Below are 20690 nucleotides of genomic sequence, written 5' to 3'. Positions count from 1 at the left end.
TACACACATCTAAAAAATACCTTCAGAGAAATGTCTAGACTGGTGTCTGATCAAACAACTGGGCATCATAGCCTAGCTAAGTTGAACAAATAAAACTAACCTTTACTCAGAACTAATCATCTAGGAAACTTCAAGGAACACATTTCTGCTTCTTTAGTGGTACCATGGAAACTCTTTTCAGCAGGCCTGAGGCAAAGTTTGGGGATTGGGAACTCACACCATGTAACAGCCTTTTTCAAAATTTTGTCTCTCCAAATCCTCTCTTTGACTTTCTGACATGGTTTTCGTTAATCAGTTTATTGAGGTATAATTTACGTATGATATCAGTTTTGACAAATACAGTTGACTCTTAACAGCACAGGTTTGAACTGCATGGGTCCGCTTATACAAGGATTTTCTTCTGCTTCTATTACCTCTGAGATGCAAGAGCAACTCCTCCTCTTCCTCCTCCTCCTCAGTGTGAAGGTGTTAAGGATGAAATCTTTCAGAGGGTTCACTTCCACTTAATAAACAGTAAATATATTTTCTCCTTCTTATGATTCTCTTAGTAACATTTTCTTTTCTCTAGCTTACTTTATTGTAAAAATTAGAGTATATAATACATAGAAAATACAAAATATGTGTTAACCAGCTGTTTATTTTATCAGTAAAGGCTTCCAATCAACAATAGTTTATCAGTAGTTAATATTTAGGGGAGTCAAAAGTTATATATAGATTTTTGACTGCATGGGGGTCAGTGCCCCTAACACTTTTCTTGCTCAGGGGTTAACTGCATATACAGTAATGAAACCACATATCTTTGTGATCATGCATAAGTTATTTAAATTGCATTTTTTATTTTTAAATATATTTTATCATCTTTGAAGAATAAAAATAAAATCTAATTTCTTACAGAGTTTGTTGTAAAAAATCAATGATATAAATCACCTAGTATAAGGTCTGGCAAATATTAGAAGCTTGAATTATGTTGGTTCCCCACTTGTCCTCTTGCTGATAGCAAAGGCTTTTGTACATTTTTACATGGCTCAGCAACTAATATGGGGCAGGGCACATAGAAGATGCTGAGTAAATGTTTCTGGAGTGAACAAACATGTCAAATGATTTAAGTATAGAGAAGAGAAAACAATTAATCATAAATTCATTGAGATAATTATATTTCCTTTCTTTTACCTCTGTAATTACTGAGCAACTTTCTCATATTAATTCAGTTCCCAAGAAAACTTCCCTATTAGAAAGAGGATACACTATCCACTTGACTTGAGAATTTTGGTCCATGAGGCAATAAAGTTTCTCATTATAAATCAAGAAATTAGCTTTCAAGTTGCTAATCAATCTCTAGTGAGTTTTATTAGCATCAGTTAGTCCCCTAGAATCAGATCAACCTTGAATAAATGAATAGGAGAGATCTTTTGACATTGAGAAGATGAGGATCATGTTTTAGGCCCATGGAGGCTTTGCAAGGTACCACATTAGCTACCAACAACCTTCTTACTTGGAAATTGGTAAGTTTGTGTTTAGCATTGTGTGTACAGAAGTATGGCTGGGCCTTCCCTTATCTTTTCCCTTTGCTTAATTACTGCTTATATTTCTGAGGAAAAACTGCTACAGAATTCAATCTGAGCTCTAGAAGATATATAGTCAGAGATCCGCCCCAAGCTGGTTCCATTAATTGTTCACTGTGTTATCTTCCACTAGGACCCCTCTGTTTACATCAATTATAACAGTCTTCTTTTTACTCCTTCTTGCCTCTCCTTTTCTCAGCCCTGAAATGACTTCTTTTCATCCTTACTTAAACAAATAAATAGTGAAATAATTTTCAAAGCCTGGCTCAGGTATGCTGTCTCCCTGGAGTCTACCTTGATGAGGTTGTTTGCTTATACTGTTTTCTTTATTCTATCAAGGCTTTTCATCAGAATACATAGACACTTTACATTATATTTAGGTAAATTGTAAGTTCAGGCAGGAGACTTTATAATGCAATTACAGAAACCTGATTGTGGTATTCAGCACCCTAGATGGCTTCTGGTGACCTTTGCTTTCTATTTCTCTCTTTGCAAAGTTCCATTCCATAATGAATAGGGCTGATGCTGTGTAACCAAGAGAGTAAGGCAGAAGTAATAGTGTGTAACTTCCAGTGTTAGTTGGTTAGGTTTTAAAAAGTAGTGCAGCCTTAGTCTTGGGCTCTTGGATAGCTCACCCTGGGGGAAGCCAGTTACCATGCCATGAAGACACTCAACGAGTCCTATGGAAAGGCCCATGTGAAAAAAAAACTGAGAACTTTTGCCAACAGCCAGCACTAACTTGCCAGCCATGAGTGAGCCACCTTTGAAAGGATTCTCCATTTCAGTTGAGCCACTGAATAAATGCAGTCGAGCCAACATCTAGGAGCAACATCATAAGAGACTCAGCCAGAACATCCCATCTGAGCCACACTTGTAATCCTGCTCATTAGAAACTGAGGGATAATAAGTGATTTTTGTTGTTTTCAACCATTAAATGTTGAAGCCATTCATTATGAACTGCAGATAGCTAATATACAGATTCAAATTGGCTTAAGGAAGAAAAAGTATCTATTGCTTATGTAGCAGAAAAGTCCAAGGGCATGGCTTTACGGATGGATGAACTCAGGTGCAAAAAAATATTTGTCAGAAATCTGTTTCATCCCATATCTTGGCTTGCTTTTCTCCTTCATTGGTTTCTTTTGCAGACACATTCTTATGAGGAAACTAGATGAACTGAAGAAGCTCCAGTTGTAAATCTTAACATGTTAGCTATATTACTCAGGGCTCTCAATAGGGACAGAACTAATAGGATATATGTATATATGAAAGAGATTTTATTAAGGAGAATTGGCTCACATGATCACACTGCAAGTCCCATGATAGGCTGTCTGGAAGCTAAGGAAGAAAGAAGACAGTAGTGCCTCAAACCGAGTCCAAAAGTCTTCAGTCTGTGACTGAAGGCCTGAGACCCCCTGGCAAACCACTGGTATAAGTTCAAGAGTCCAAAGACTGAAAACCCTGCAGTTATTGGATGAAAGCTGCAGGCAGGAGGAACAGAATGAAGCATCCAGCATGGGAGAAAGATGAAAGCTAGAAGGCTCAGCAAGTCAGCTTCCCCCACTTCTTCTGCCTGCTTTGTTCTACTGTGATGACAGCCTACTGGATGTTGCCTACCCACATTGAAGGTGGCTCTTCCTCTCTCAGTCCACTGACTCAAATGTCAATCTTCTTTGGCAATACCCTCACAGACACACCCAGAAACATACTTTACCAGCTATCTAGGCATGGCATCCTTCAATCCAATCAAGTTGACACCTAATATTAACCATAACATTAGCAATACTGAGAAACAAAGTATCTCTTTCCCAATAGTTTAAGCAAACATTTAGGACTGCATCTTTTTGGCCTGCCTTGGGTTGCGTGCAAGTCTTTGAGGCCAGTGGTTAGACTGGTAGAGGTTAGAGCTAAGTCATTTAACCATCCTTGGAACAAGAGGTGGGGTAGACTTTTACCACTGAACTGTCTTATGGGAAGAAGATGGTATTCAAAAAAGTAATTGAAGGGCTATGTCACTAGAGTGGGTGCTGGACTGGAAGAATTACAGACTTCAATTACAGACAATTATAAACTGGAATAATATTCCTAAAGCCCTACTTTGATCATATTACTCATAATATGAAGACTATATTGGTCTTTTATCATGCTGGTGATAAAGACATACCTGAGACGGGGCAAATTACAAAAGAAAGAAGTTCAGTGAACTTAGTTTCACGTGGCTGGGGAGGCCTCACAATCATGGCAGAAAGTGAAAGACACTCACATGGCAGCAGACAAGAGAGCTTGTGCAAGGTAACTCCCCTTTATAAAACCATCAGATCTCATGAGACTTATTCACTATCATGAGGACAGCATGAGGAAGACTTGCTCCCATAATTCCATTACATGTAGGAATTCAAGATGAGATTTGGGTGGGGACACAGCCAAACCATATCAAAGACCATTTGGTGTCCTTAAATTTTATTTATTAAATATTTATTTGAAAGCTGGGAAAAGTAACATGTGAGCATTGCAACCAGTAAAATATTACAAAGAAACAATGATAATGAAATATGATATATTGATTAATTCAGGCAACATGAATTGAGCACTCTGTGTGCTTTGACACTGTACTAAGTGTTGCAAATTCAGTGGTGAATGAGGGAAGCCTGATTCATCCCTGCCGTCACATAATATGCAGTCTAATGTGAAAAAAGGCACTGAAAAAACAGTTGTATGAATAATATATTAAATACAATGTTAAAGGCTATCAAGGAAAAGTACCAGGCTCTGTGAGAGTATAGAAATATCTTATGTTCAATAAATAAACATGACATTCAGGTAATAGCTGTGGTGTCCTAATCTTAAATTGAAATCTTAGTGCTGCTGCTAGTAACAATCCTAGTTGATTGACTTTGGATAAGATACTTAACTTCTCTAAGTCCTACTTCCCACATAAAATCATTTTTATAAAGATTAAGGGAAATATTGCAAGTAGTGTGCTTAGTATAGGTCCCAGCACACAGTAAGTACTTAATAATTGTTTGCTACTTTTATTATTTTGCACACAGGACTTGGCACAGTGTCATGGACTAGTGAATTCATAAACAATGTGTGCTAAAGGGTCATACTATGAGGGGCCTTCTCTAAGCAGGTATCTGCATGACTCTTCCTTACATTCTGTAGCAGTTTGCTCCAGTGTCACCATCTCAGTGACACCTTTGCTGACCATTCTAATTTAATTGCAACCCCCACCCTGACTAAAAACCCTCATTGCCTTATCTGTTTTATCTTGTTCTTCTCCATGACACTTATCGCCGTCTTATATACTACATATTCTGTTTATTTATTTATGGTTTGTTTCATCATTAAAATATAAGCTCAATAAGATTATAAAGTTTTGTTCATTTTGTTCACTGATCTTTCCACAGAGCCTCAAATAATGCCTGACATAGAGAAGGCACTGAATATATAATGATCATAGCAACTGAATTTCTCAAACACCTTTTGTTTGCCAGGCACTGTTTTAAGTGTTTTGCATTTATTCTTTCATTAAAAATGGATATTAAGACATTATAACGTGCCTTAGTGCAGACACAGGATCAGCACAGGTTATGTAGTTGAACATACATACTCAGGGGCCATGCCAAACTCCACAGTGATGCAGGATCTCCCACGTTGTAGTGTCACAGGTTTTCTGATCCTACCCCTAAAGCATAGTCTCTATTCTATATGAGTAATATGCACTAATAGGGGGACTCTAAATAACCAATATGCACTTACATAAAGCCAGATTTCATTTTTGCTGGGATATTTCTTTATGTGTTTGGGAGAGAAAGGTGATGCCTAGAAGAATAAGATTCTGATGACACATACAGCCTAGCCCACCTGATTCGATCCCTGTGGTGAACAGTTATCTCTTTTACTTCCTTCATGCTCCTCATGGGAATACATATATTTCACTTTATTAACTTCAAGTAAATTCTATGCTTTGAAGATCTCTCCATGTTGCCATATATATATCTCTAATTCATTGATTCTGATAACAATTTAATATTCTATAGATTACATTTTATTAAGGAAAAAAGCTGCCTAATAGTAATTTAATTCCCACTTAATGACATTTATTTTACCTTTTCAGGCTGAATAATATTAAGGAAATGACAACAATACAGGAAAGGATGGAATTAGCTAAGAGGAGACAGATACAACTTAGGTGACAAAATCTTTGGAGTTGCCATATTATAGTAAGTCTGCCCAAAGTCCAATTTAAAGAAAATAACGTTTAACAAATCAGAAATTTCTCATCCTTTTGCAATGTGACTTTTCTGCTCCTCCCATCAAGAAGTAGACTTGTATCTGGACTGGCCTCATTACTTGCTTTGTATGGCAGAATGTGATGGAATTAAAATTTTGTGCATTTTTTTGGTTTAAGGTTCTAATTTTGTGGTGGTTTATAATTCAGCAGTAGGTAACTGATAGAGTCCTGGTATTGTATCTTCTCTGTTTCCTTCTGTCACTGTGACAACTTAACAATCCGTTAATAAAGAATGCTAAAAGGTTATTTCAGAATTTTATTCTAGGTAGATAAGGCTCATTAGCTATAACTTTGAGCTGTATTTTGGATTCAGGATTTCCCTTGAATTACCTAAAGCTACACATGCAGAAAGTGTGGGTAGTGAGGGAAGTGCTAGGCAGGAGGGGACTATGTATTGTAGGCTATCACAGATAAAACTTAACAAAGGCATTAACTAGACATTAACTAGGACAACAAATGGAACAAAAGGAAAACTATTATGAAAGCAGAATCATTTATCTCTGGGCTGGGAATATCAGAATTCATGGGACTTCCACCTATTTGTGCACACTAATTCAGCTTAGATTATCATACACTTAAATCTAATTTTTTAAGTATCAATCATCTGTAATTCTAATTTTTACCAGTCACATCTTTCATGTAAGAAAATGTGGATTTAGCACAAGATTGATTTCAGTTCAAATTCCATCTCTGCAACTTACTAGCTATACCTTTGAGTAAACAGTATCTTCCAAACCACAATTTCTTCATGTGTAAAATGGTGGCAATGATACATATTTGTGGGATTTTCTAAAGGACAAAAGTAGCCCAATAAATGTAAGTAACTTGCATTCTATTCTGAAATGGAGGAGGTTAAATGTAATAAGACCTGTATGATTAATTTTCTTTTCTCTGTCATGGGTTATTGTTGTGTCACTTCTAAAGAATAGGCACTGGTTTGGCTTTCTCTAAATAAAATTCAAGTAATTTACTTATTTTGGATATTTTCCCTGAGTTTTATCCATGCTGGACTTGAGTTTTCTCTACTCCAATATATGGTTCTTTGATGTTCATTTATATGTCTTTATATTTATGCTTCTTCCTTCAACTTTCACATGTATTTTTTTTTTCAAAATCTGATCTTACCACAGCATTTCCTACGGAGCCATTTTACATGCCTCCTTTTTTTTGTTTAACTATTTGATTATTTCTGTTCATACAATTAGAACTTTTATTTTTTGAGCCTCCTATCATAACTTCATTTGTTTACAGTTAACCTATGACTATGGCTTCATAACTGTAATATTGTATAGTGGTTAAGGGGATGACTAGTGAAGCCAATTTCCTCATTTGGAATTCTTACTTTCAGTAACTGTGAAAAGCTTTCATTTCCCTAAGTGTGAAATGGGGATGAAAATAATAAGACTGATCTATAAAGGGTATTTTGAAGATTAAATGGGATACTTCTAGAAGCTTTATAGTTTTAGATTTTATGTTTATGTCTTTGATATAATCTGAGTTAATTTTTGTATATGGTATGATGTAGTTATTCAAATTCATTCCTTTGCATGTGGATGATAGTTGTTTCAGCATCATTTGTTAAAAAAAAATCTATCTTTTTCCCCATTGAATGGTCCTGCCATCTTTGTAAAAAATCAATTGACTATACATATATTGTTATTTCTGAAGTCTCAATTCTATTCCATTGATCTTCAAGTCTATCCTTATCCTAGTAATCACAGTCTACTTATTACAGTAGCTTTATAATAAGTTTTGAAATGGGAAAGTTTGAGTCCTCCAACTGTTTTCTGCTTTTTCAATATTGTTTTGTCTATTCTGCCTCCCTTGCATTTTGATATGAATTTAAAAATGAGGGCTGGGTGCAGTGGCTCACACTTGTAATCCCAGCACTTTGGGAGGCTGAGGCAGGTGGATCACCTGAGGTCAGGAGTTTGAGACCAGCCTGGCCAACACGGTGAAACTCTGTTTCTACTAAAAATACAAAAATCAGCCGGGTGTGGTGGCGGGCATCTGTAGTCCCAGCTACTCGGGAGGTAAGGCAGGAAAACTGCTTGAACACAGGAGGTGGAGGTTGCAGTGAGCCCAGATCGCGCCACTGCACTCCAGCCTGGGCGACAGAGTGAGACTCCATCTGGAAAAATAAATAAATAAATAAAAGAATGAGCTTGTCCATTTCTAAAAATAACTTTTAAACGTTGTTGGAATTTTGATGGGGATTGCAATGAATCTATAGGTCTATTTAGAAAAAAGTGCCATCTAAAGAACTGTAAATCTTCTAATCCATGAACTTAGGACATCTATTTCATTAGGTCTTCTTGATTTCAACAGTGTTTTGTAGTGTTCAGTGTAAATGTCTTGCACCTCGTTGATTACACTTATTTCTAAGTATCTTTTTTTGATATTATTGTACAAGAATTTTTTTCTTAATGTCATATTTGGATTGTTTATGGATAATGTAGAGAAATGCAACTGATTTTTTTCTTGATCTTTTTGTGCATACTTGCTGAATCATTTATTAGCTTTCATAGAGTTTTTTGGGAGTGCAGATTCTTTAGGATTTTTTAAATATAAGATCATCTCATCAGCCAATAGAGGTACTTTTACGTATATTTTTTCCAATCCGGATGCATTTTATTTCATTTTCTTGCCTAATTGTCCTCCATATTACCCTGACTTCAAGTGGTGACAGCAGAATCCTTGTTGTGATCCTTGTCATGTTCCTGATCTTAGAAGGAAAGCATTTAGTCTTTTATCTTTAAATATAATTAATTTTAATTCTATTTACTTATTTTTAGAGACAAGTTTTGCTCTGTCACCCAGGCTGGAGTGCAGAGGCATGATCATAGTTCAATGTAACCTCAAACTCCTGGACTCAAACTATCCTCCTGCCTCAGCCTCCCAAAGTGCTAGGATTGTAGGCATGAGCCATTGTGCCTGACCTCCATTAAGTATAACATTAATTGTGGGTTTTGCATAGATTCACTTTAAAATGTTGAGAAAATTCTCTTCTATTCCTAGTTTATTGAGTGCTTTTATTAAGAAAGAGGATTGGATTTTGTCAAATACTTTTTCTGTGTTTATTGAGATGAACGTGTTCCTCTCTCCCCTTGTTATCATTTTTGGGTATAAATTGATTAGCTTTTGTATGTTGTGCTTACTTTGGATTCTGGAATAAATCTGGTATATAATCTTTTTTTATGTACTGCTGGTTTCAGTTTGTTAGTGCTTTCTTTCTAGTTTTTCCATCTTCATTCATAAAGGGTATTCTGTATTTTTTCTGTTTTGTGATGGCTCTGTCTGGTTTGCTATCAGGTAAAAATCCTGGCCTCCTAGAATGTGTTTGGAAATGTACCCTCCCTTTCTATTTTTTGACAAGTTTGTGAAGGATTGGTGTTAATTCATCTGCAAACATCTGGTAGAACTCACCAGTGAAGCCATCTTTTTCTTGGTTTTTCTTTGTGGAGGTTTTTAAAAAATTACTCTCTCAGTCTTTTTACTTACAATAGGCATATCCAGATTTTCTATTTCAATAGGTATATCCAGATTTTCTATTTTCTCTTGACTAAATCTTGGTAAATTTTCGTCTTTCTGGGAATTTATCCAACTCATCTAGGTCATTCAATTTGTTGTCACGCAATTGCTCATGGTATTTTTTTAATCACCCTTTTTGTTTCTTTAAGATTAGTAGCAATATCACTTCTTTTATTCCTGATTTTAGAAATGTGAATCTTCTGTCCTTTTTTCTATGGTTGGTCTAGCTAAAGGTTTCTAAATTTTGATGATTTTTTTCAAATAATTAACTTTAAGTTTTATTGATTTTTCTTGTTTTTCTAATTTCTATTTCATTTATTTCTTTACTAATCTTTTCTTCCTTCTGTTTGCTTTGGGTTTGTGTCTTTGAGTATAAAGTGAGTCTCTTCTAGATCAGACCGTTGAGTGGTGCTCTTTTACTCATTTGCAATTACCTAACTTGTAATATAGAGATCTTTCTAGTGTACCATTTTAGTTTACTTGCAAATTTTATGTTGTACATTTTACTATATATTTTTGAGTTATTTTCTAGGAATTAACATTAATATTTTAATTTATAACAATTCAATTTGGTTTAATATCAACTTAATTTCAATAGTGCACAAAAACTTTGTTTATATATAGAACAGTTATAGCTCCCCACTCTTTATGTTGTTATTTTTACAAATTTCATCTTTATACATTGTGTACCCATCAATATAAAATTATAATTATTGCCTTATGCATTTATCTTTTAAATCAGAAAGGAGAAAAAAAGAGGTTAAAAATAAAACACTGCATTTATTTTGTATTTTATGTTTACCTATATCTTTATCTTTTCCAGGGCTTTTTATTTATTCATGTGAATTCCAGTTGCCAGTCAGTGTCTTTTCCTTTAATCCTGAAAGACTCTCTTTAGTTTAGTATATTTTGTAAAGCAGGTCTGTCAGCAGTGAATACTCTCAGTTTTTGTTTATTTTGGAATATCTTAATTTCCCCTTCATGTCTGAAGGATAGTTTGCCAGATATTGAATTCTTGTGTGATAGATTTTTCTTTTCACATCTTGAAATGTCATCCCACTATCTCCTTACCTCTACTGAGAACCTAGCTTTCAATTTTGTTGAGGATTCCTTAAACATAATGAGTTTCTTCTCTCTTGCTGCTTTCAAAATTTCTCGTAGTCTTTGACTTTCAACAATTAAATTATAAGGGGTATAGAGGTAGATTTCCTTTATTTTATCCTACTAGGAGTTCCTGGACCTTCTCAAATGCATAGGCTAGCAATTTTTATCAAATTTTAGAAGTTTTGGCCATAATTTCTTCAAATATTCTTCCTGCTCCTTTTTCTCTCTTTCTAGGATTCCCATTATGCATATATAGGTATGATTAATGGTGTTTCACATGTCTTTCAGGCCTTGATAACTTTTTTGTTCTTTTGTTCCTGTTATTCAGATAGAATAATCTTGATTGACCTGTCTTTGAGATCTCTGATTGTTTATTCTGTGTGCTTAATCTGCTTTGGTGCCCCTGTGGTATAAATTTTTTATTTCAGCTATTATGGTTTTCAATTCCAGATTTTCTACTTTATTCTATTTTATATTTTTATCATTTAATCTATATTTTATATTTGTGGAGACATAATACTATGTCTTTAGACATAGTTTCCTTTAGCTATTTGAACATAATGTAAAAGGCTAATTTAAGTTTCTTGCCTAATAAGTTCAATATCTAAGCTTCCTCAGGGATATTTTCTATTTGTTAATTTCTTCCCCCTTTCTTGTTTCTTTGCATGTCTTATAATTTTTTGTTGAAAACTGGACACTTAAAATAATATAATATAGCAATTCTGGGAATCAAATTCTCTCTTTTTCTGTTGTTGTTGCTGCTTGTTGTAGTACTAGTTGTGTGTTTGTTTGGTAAATTTCTGAACTAATTTTGTGAAGTCCGTATTCTTTGTCATGTGTAGTCATTGAGTCTAGACTCAGCTAGCTTAGTGGTCATCTAATGATTGGACAGAAGTTTCCTTAAATGCCTGAAACTAATAAATCTTCTAGTCTTTGCTGATGGGCTTTAGATGTGTTGAGGCCTTCACTATTATTTACAAATATCTATTTAAATGCCAACGTAAGTACCAAACCTACTATCAATAGGACCCTATTCTTGTCATTTAGTCAGGCTGTTTACCATGCTGCTTTAGCTTTTACAGAGCCCCAAAGTCAGCCAGAATTGAGAGTTTAGGGATTTTTTTTTTTTTTTTGGTTTTTCTTGAGCATGTGCACGGCCCTAAGAATATGCATGGCCTTCTAGATTCCTAGGAGTATTGGAGCTTTCTAAATCCCTTTAGAAAATCTCTTTCCTCAGATTTTCTTTTTAAGCCTTATGATTAGTCCATTGTTCACCCCAATTCTTACCTATCATCTAAGGTAGCTGCAATATTAAATGCTTGCATGCAGATGTTTTTGATAAATGCCCCTTTAGGATGAGGTTATTAGCACTAGGTGAGCTTTGATTCAGGCCATATAAAGACAAGCTTTTCATGTTAGATCTTCTAGGGAACCATCTGAAAGGTAAAATGATAATTCTTTGGAAATGGGGCTTTGAAAGAGTTCTAGCTTTATTCTGCTCCCTTTGTTATCAAGAGTGGACACTAGTACTTTACAAGGCTGCCCAGGGGAGCCAGGGAGGGAGGTAGAGCAAGTTAAAATACAACAAAGCTCGCTGAGGTAAAAATAAGCTTAACATTCACATTCCACCCCCCACCCCGCCCCGAATTTTAAACCTTTGCAGATTTAAGTCTATGAAGAGTTCAAGCTACAGTATTTTGAAAATTTTAATTATATAATTTAACTTTAACTCAATCAGGTGAAAAGAATTAAACAGCCGTTTTTATGGGGAGGGGTGGTTATGTAATATAATTCATCTTGTTTATATGCAAGCAGTGGAATAAATTGAAATGTGATTTGAATGATTTCCATGTTGTAATAATTATGGTGTTTTTTGTTTGTGTTGGTTTTGATAAATAATCAGATATTACATGCCAATTTATATTAGTTTAATTGAGACACCTAAGTCAAGCTTGGCCTAAAGTGGAAATTTGTTGGCTCAAAGAAGCAACACACAACTGCAGTGAGGGAAGGAATACAGCTGGGCCTAAATTACTACCAGGATTCTCTCGTCTTCCTCTCTTCTTAAAACTAGCTTAACTCTGTTTTCTCTGACTGCAGATGGGTTCTTCCAGTGTGGCAATTGACTTGACCACTAACAACAGCAGAGTTTCCAGTTGTTTCACTTTCTCCGGCCAAGAGCTATTACTTTTTCTGAATTCAAAAAAAATCCCAGGTAAGGGCTCTCATTGACTCAGCATGTGTTCCATTACTTCCCCTGGAATAATAACCTAAAGCAGAAATTGGGCAATATAGCAGCATAGTCGTTATGCTGTTGCGGTTCAAAAACAAGGAGTTGTTTTTCCCTGAAATGGGTAGAGTGTAATTGGGTTGGAAGATGATGTGCAGTTAAGATACTTGATATTTAATATACTTTTGCAAATATGCATTTCAAAGCCAATATAAATACTAAATTTAATTCCAATATGACCTTACTCTTATTTTAAAAATACCCAAACTAACAACAGCAACAAAACAAAACAATGCTCTCCAAAAAAATGCAATGAAAAGGATCAGTAAGCTCCTCTCATTGTTCATGTTTAATCACAAGATTAAACCCATTTAGAAAAAAAGTTAAAATGGGCATAGGGAAAAATCTTAACATCTTAATACCCAAACTGAATTTCTGAGATTTAAAGCACATGTTCCAGATCTGAAAGACAATAGAGTTAGGGAACCCTGTTTATACATTGTTGAGGTCATGACTGTTTTGAATGTCTATGTGGGTCACCGTACCAGAATAATCACAAAAACTTTACTTTATTCTGGTTGCCTGTGAAAGAGATAATTACTTTATTTATACAGAATATTTAGATTCGATAGCCCTGATTATTTTAGACTAAAGTGCATGTGTGTCTCTTTAAAACTTAAATTATCTGACAATTGTTTCAATTGTATGCTTGGCTCTGCTTCATAGTCAAGACTCAGCAATTATGCAGTTGATTTGAACACTATAGATCAAAGTAAGAATTTAATTCCAAGAATGAAATCTTGTTTGCCATTTTATACTGACTACACCAACAGGCTAATCAATAACTGTCCTCTTCATGTGTACAAAGTGATTTTTCTTTCTTTTTTTTTTGAGATGGAATCTTGCTCTGTGGCCCAGGTTGGAGTTCAGTGGCACTATCTCAGCTCACTGCCCCCTCTGCCTCCAGGTTCAAACAATTCTCCTGCCTCAGCCTCTCAAGTAGCTGGGATTACAGGTGTGTGCCACCATGCCTGGCTAATTTTTGTATTTTTTGTAGAGATGGGGTTTCACCATGTTGGCTGGGATGGTCTCAAAGTCCTGGCCTCAAGTGACCTGCCTGCCTCGACCTCCCAAAGTGCTGGGATTACAGGCGTGAGCAACTGCACTTGGCCACAATGTCCTTTTATTTGGATGTTTGTATTGTGTCTACACACTCAGTTTAAATTAAATCTCACAATAGAGATGATGTTTAATATAACTCTAATTTTCAAACTTTAACATTTCTTTAAACTGATTGTCAAAACATCGAAAGAAATTTACCATCATTAGACATCATTTATGACAATAAAGTCATTTTACAGACCTGCCATAGTTTAGAATCCTTTAAGGTTATTACCTCATCTACCACAATAGAACCAAATGTTGCCTCTTTTATGTATCCAAACCCCAGTGCACCCAGGAACAAATTGGATTTCTGAAGGCACTCTACTTGTAGTCCTTCTCCACTGACATTCAATGCAACTGTTTGGTCACAAAAATATCATGATTGAATGAAAATTTAGTGCCAGTGTTTCCCATGATTTATTCTGAATTCCTCGTATTCTCTCTTAATTCTCCATACCCAGGAAGAATTGTTGGGCCGAGGGAAAGAGGGCTGGAGCAGGAATCAGCAGATGTTACCATTTGTCTATATAGTGTCACAAACAAATATCAGATGTGGCTCTTGCCCATCTTCTACTCTTTCCCCTCTATTTCATCATAGATATCAATTATGTAACAAGTTCGCTGGACATTAAACACTGAAATAAGAAAAGTATGGAACATACTAAAACTCCTTTTTATTACTAAGATACTTAGAAATGTAAAAATGAACATATGTTTTGTAGGAACACTAAATTTCACCAGTGTATAGTGTGTCTTTTATTATACTGACCCTTTAAAAATTAAATTCCAGAATTCTCCTTTTATTTTTTTAATGCTGAGAATGAATTTCTGTAATAGTTTAATGGAGAGCTTCTCCATGGAAATGATGAGGTGGTACATGTAAAAGTTGTTCAAATCAAAATGGAGTCACTAATGTTAAAACAAAAAAACCTTGACAAATAGAGCCAGGGAAGGCTTTGAAGAAAGGGTTCTCATGCTTGTATGTTTGATAAAACTATCACAAAAGAGTCTGCAAAAACCACAACCATACACAAAGGCCATCACAATCTTACATGAAAAATTATTCTGCAAAGACATCTGCACAGCAACTACCTGTCCAGACTCAGACTGGCGTGACCCTTGTTATTAATCTTTGTAGCAAATGAAAATTATTTTAAAACAATTGTGTATTCTTTATTTTTTTCCTTAAAAGGATTTGTCTTTCTTTACCTCCCTGAATACACACATAGTTTACTACAGCATGCGTATTTTCATTGCAATGCTCTATTCCCTCAACATCTTTTTCTTTCTCTGTTTGTTACGTAGGTTGATGTATATGGTCACAAAAGTGAACATGAAAAAGATCACCCATTGAAAGAAACTGGCGATTCTTAGAACCAGTATGCAATACTCACTTGAGCCCTTTGAGCTCTCTGCTTTCACGACTCACCTTTTCTGTTCTGGTGAGTATTCTCTAAGGCTGAGCCTCCCTCTTTTTGGTAGTAGCTCTTGACTATATTTGGAATCTGGATCTGGTAAAGCCACTTTAATAAAAGACCATATGTCCCTCCTGAGGTGATAAAAGTGTTTCTGTCTTTTCCGGTAAGTCCTTTCTGGTGTAAAGACACATGTCTTTCTGGATTGAGTGCTCTTACTTCTACAAAATCTACTTTCTGTTCATGAGGCATGTCTTTTCTGGTGAATTCACTTTCGGGCCACAGGTTTAGTTTAATATTTTTTTCAATCTGCGTGCCTGCATTAAGATTTCTGTGAATACTTGATTTCTTTGGATTTGGTTTGGAATTTTTTGTTGTGTGTTTCTAAAAAATCTTCTGATTGCAAGGAAGGTTAAGAAGAAAAGAGAATAATTTTGTATGAGAAAAAACCTTGGGTAGAAAATTTTTGTCCTAAAGTAAAATGACTGGTTATTTAAGAAGGAGGAAGTACAGGACAGAGCAGAGAGTCCAAGAATATCATAAATATTGTGAGTTTTGGTAAGGTTTGTGAAGGGGGTATTTATAAAAAGAATTTTGTGTGTGATCAAATTGGTTATAATTAAAAAAATTATAATAATTTTTAAAGAAGAGTCAATATTGAAAAAAAGACATACAAAACTAAAAATTCGGTTCCCTATGTAGGAACAACAAAGTATTGATTTATGCTTAGAATAGTTGCAATTCATTTTGATTTTTGATTCTGAAATCTGTTTCTTTAACAGCCACCTTCTTTTTTTGTTTTTGAGGCAGAGTCTCACTTGTTGCCCAGGCTGGAGTGCAGTGGCGCCATCTCGGCTCATTGCAACCTCTGCCTCCTGGGTTTAAGAGATTCTCCTGCTTCAGCCTCCCAAGTAGCTGGGATTACAGGCACATGCCACCATGCATGGCTAATTTTTGTTTTTTTTTTTTAGTAGAGATGGGTTTTTGCCATGTTTGCCATGCTGGTCTTGAATGCCTGACCACAGGTGATCCGCCTGCCTCAGCCTCTTAAAGTGCTGGGATTACAGGCGTGAGCCACCACGCCCGGCCACCAGCCATCTTCTAAACTACAGACAGTTTCTATTTCTGTTGCATTTCTTGCTGAGATATATTTAATTTTACTACTTTCAGATTTGAAATGCTGTCTTTTTTATTCAGAATGGCCATTTCATTTCTCCAGGTAAAATTATTTTTTTAAACTTCTCATATTTATATGTCAGAATTCAACCTTTCCTGTATCTTCTGCATGAGATTTGCAGGTCATGTATCATCTTTGCCTTCGGCTCTCCTTTCTTCCCTTATAAAGCTATATCCTTTTGCTAGGCTAGGCTGCCCACTCTTTCTTTTAACATTTTTGTCATCCCCTTTAACTTTTTTTCTCCTCAGTTTTAACTCTGAGTTTGTTGCCTGACATTGAAATATTTTTCTCAAAGACTTAGAAAAGCAAAGTTTTTCTCTAGTGTAACTTGATTCTGTGCTCTTGGGTTTTCTTGATGTATCTGAATTGTTCCACGTAACCAGGAAACTTCCCATACTGTTAGTAAAATCCATGTATTCCCCTGCTCAATGTACAAGTTTTATTGTTTACATTCCTCTGTAATACAATGTACTCATAATCCTGAACACATTCTTTCTGTGTCTGATTAAATTTAATTACCCTTCCATCAAGATTGATTTCCAGGTTATCTAAATGGGCTTCCCGAGAAACAATCATGCTGCAGAACATTTTTCTTTAACTTTTTGGCAACTAACCTAAAAAACAAAGATTTTTTGGGAGGCCGAGGAGGGCGGATCACGAGGTCAGGAGTTTGAGACCAGCCTGGCCAATATGGTGAAACCCCATCTCTACTAAAAATACAAAAATTAGCCGGGTGTGGTGGCGCACACCTGTAGTCCCAGCTACTCAGGAGGCTGAGGTAGAAGAATTGCTTGAACTCAAGAGGCAGAGGTTGCAGTGAGCCAAGACCATGCCACTGCACTCCAGCCTGGGCGATAGAGCAAGACTCCATCTCAAGAAACAACAACAACAACGACGACAAAAACAAAGATTTTAAATTCTATTAAGAGAATTTCCTGTGTTATCTTTTTTTTTTCCTCCTTAGAGACAGGGTCTCATTCTGTTGCCTAGCGGGAGTGCAGTGGTGCAATCACAGTTCACTGCAGCCTCAAAATCCTGAGCTCAAGTGATTCTCCCACCTCAGCCTCCTGAGTAGCTGGGACTACAGGCATGTGCCACCATACTTGGATAATTTTTAACGAAAAAAGTTTTTAGAAACAGGGTCTTAGAGTTGCCCAGGCTAGTCCCTAACGCTTGGCCTTAAGCAATCCTCGTGTCTTGGCCTCCCAGAGTGCTGGGAATTTATAGGCAGGAGCCACTGCACCTGGCCCTGTGTTGACTTTATTAGGGTGTTTTTCTTTACTTAGGAAAATTGACCTTTTAAAAAGGTTAAGGATTTTATATTCATTTAATTTTCTGTATTGCTTTTGAAGATCTCTGATTATCATTCTGGTTAAATGAATGACTATTATTTTACAGGGACCTTTAATTCTGTTTTTATCAAGTGTTTTGTACTTTTTGACATCTTTGACAGGTTTCCCCAGGATCAAAATCCTAAATTAAGGCTTTTTTGACACCTACAACTAACTTTGCAATTTTACAGTTGGGCTTCTGTAGAGCCTCAAAGAATATATCTCTCATCTCGTAGATATATTAAATGATAAGGCTTATTTGGCAAATTGTATGAAAAGCATTGTCAAATGATGTGATACTAGATCTTCTTTCAGTTATATTTATTGGTGTATTCTTGGTATAACTGTTTAAAAATTATATAAATTTGTAAAAATTTGATATGTTATGCCATAATTTTGGTTTTCTGAAATATTTTCTAAAGTTTTATTTTAATGGATATGTTATGAATTTAAGTACTCTAAAGCATATATAAAATTTATAAAAGTGCGATGGTACTAATTTGATGCTGTCAGTCATGATTCTGGTTGATATTTTAAAATGCTGCATGTAATAACTACATTTCCTTGTCAACTTTGAATTTTCATCAGACTTTTAACCATGGTTATTTTAAGTTTTTGTCATCCACAGTTATTGTTTTAAATTATTCTCTAATAGCATATGTAATCAGCTACAGCTCAAAATTGCTTTTCAAGAAAAAGTCTCTAAGAAGTACCCTGGAACACAGACTTCTGATAACTTTAAGATCAATGGACTGAACAAAAATTTCCAGAATTCCAAAGAAGAAATGTATGAGTTTATAGAAGTGATCATCAAGATCAGGCAGTAAAAATTTAGTTACATGAAATTAAGTAATTGACAAAGCTAATGTTTTTATGATTTTTATGTAAAACAATGATTATTCACTTAAATATTTTCAAGATTTTTAAAAAAGTTATCTCTTAAGCTTTACAACACTTAAGCTTTACAACATAGTTTACAACACTTTGGTAAAGTATACTTTTGTGAAAAAAAATGGAAGTATTTACTTTTTCTCTGTAATAGTCAGGGTTCTTTAGAGGGACAGGACTAAGAGGATGGATGTATATATGAGAGGGAGATTTTTAAGCAGTATTGACTCACATGATCACAAGGTGAAGTCCCACAATAGACTGTCTGCAAGCTGAGGGGCAAGGAAGCAAGTCCGAATCCCAAAACCTCAATTTTCCCTGCTCAATTCCTCCAAAAATTGAAAAATATTCATAATATTTTTAATGATAATGTAGTTACTTGCATAAGTTCAACAAAAATCTGCTCTCTCTTTATAGAAGGATAGAATTGAAAACAGTGGTTACATTACCAAGGCTTTGACTGAAGTATCGTATTTGAGGATGTGCATGAAACAACTGGCTTCAATGGTTCCTAGCATCACAGTGAATGATTAGAAACTGTCACTTCCTGGCAGGCCCGGAAAACTGTCACTTCCTAGCAGGCCCGGAAAACTAAAGAATGTAAGTGAAATCTAAAGTCTGCCCTGGTTTGACTTCCTTCCCTCAAGAAGTATTAAAATCTGAGACTCCTATGTGATGAATGCAGAGTGAAAATATTATTTTGAAGAAAAAATGAACTATTATATACTTGTTATTAGATTGTAGCCTTATTCATAGGTTTCAAGTTCTTCTTATTTACCCGTAGACTAGACTAGATCCTGAATCCTAATTTCATCCAATATTTGGCTACAACTCTCCAGCTAGTAACAAAAAACTGCTCTAATCCTAAAGCCCTGTAAGTTGAAACTAGATACATTTTAAACAACAAGACTTGTGCCTGATGTGTGGTCACCACAAGATCATCAAACTGAATATCATGACTAGAGATATTCAAACTGAAAACCAGGAGAAGTTGATGTTTTCATGCTGTAGACAGTTTTTCCCAAGATATTGGAACAAGTCTTCATATCACAATGGGATTATTACCTACCTTAATGCTACTCTAACCTCCCTATTTCACATGGTAAGATAATGGTGTAAAGTTTAACAATCAACAGATTCTGCTGGCAACTTAACAGAACCTAAACATTCTTTAGTATCTATTGGTTAAATAAGAAAATGTCTTTGCTATTGCTAATACTACATGCTGTACCTGGTAAAATTCCTCTGGAAAATTGAGAGTCATTTGCATAAAATAAGAAAACAGACCATATTCTTACTATGGGTCTTACCTAATTCCCTGTGGTCATTTGATTTATTCGATTGGTTACTTTTAAGTTTAGGTTCATGGCTCAAAATCATTATGCAAACTTGAATTGTCATATTACCATTTATTTTACCTTTCTAAATTTTGTATCTGTTACTTATTAAATTTCTATGGAAGTACTAACTCCTAACAAAATAATGTTGGCCCAGCACTTTAAGATAACAAAAGACTACAGAGCAGACAAAATTGAACATAATAGTGAACTCCACGCAGACATAGCTTGAGAGCCACTCCCTAAAGGACTAAAGGGTTGACCCTGGATCCTAGTCTCCAATCAATCCCTTTCAATATGAGATGAGACCAGCCCCTTGGACAAGTCCATCATGGCACCAAGAGACATCAAAAACTAACTATAGGATGATTGATTAGTGATGCTTTTGAAATAAGATCTTGATCAAAAGGGGAACTGTGAAAATTGTCAGAGTCAAAATGGAGTCACTAATGTTAAACCAAACAAACAAAAAACAAACAACGCTGACAAATAGTGAAATAGAGGTGGGGAAGGCTATGAAGAGAGGGCTCTCACACTTGTGAGCCTGATAACAAAAGCTATCACAAAAGACTGCAAAAACTACAGTCTTGCACAAAAATCATTGCAACTTTACACAAAAAGTACTTCTGCAAGGATATCTGCACAGCAACTGCCTTT

General features: G+C 35.4%; 2 long non-coding RNA genes across 8 annotated transcripts in view; one reads left to right on the top strand and one right to left on the bottom strand.

The window, feature by feature from the left end:
• LOC124902645 (uncharacterized) overlaps positions 1 to 15349 on the top strand; it is a 74729-nt gene extending 59380 nt beyond the window's left edge. The window contains exons 2-4 of the long non-coding RNA XR_007062622.1: positions 5680 to 5785; positions 12592 to 12706; positions 15191 to 15349. This is a non-coding gene — a long non-coding RNA (uncharacterized LOC124902645). The remainder of the gene's footprint in view (positions 1 to 5679; positions 5786 to 12591; positions 12707 to 15190) is intronic.
• LOC102723370 (uncharacterized) overlaps positions 1 to 20690 on the bottom strand; it is a 366694-nt gene that overhangs the window by 9356 nt on the left and 336648 nt on the right. The gene's annotated exons all lie outside the window — the stretch shown is intronic.

Source organism: Homo sapiens, chromosome 11 (assembly GCF_000001405.40).
Source record: "Homo sapiens chromosome 11, GRCh38.p14 Primary Assembly".
NCBI lineage: Eukaryota > Metazoa > Chordata > Mammalia > Primates > Hominidae > Homo > Homo sapiens.
This window is presented reverse-complemented; position numbering and strand designations above follow the sequence as displayed.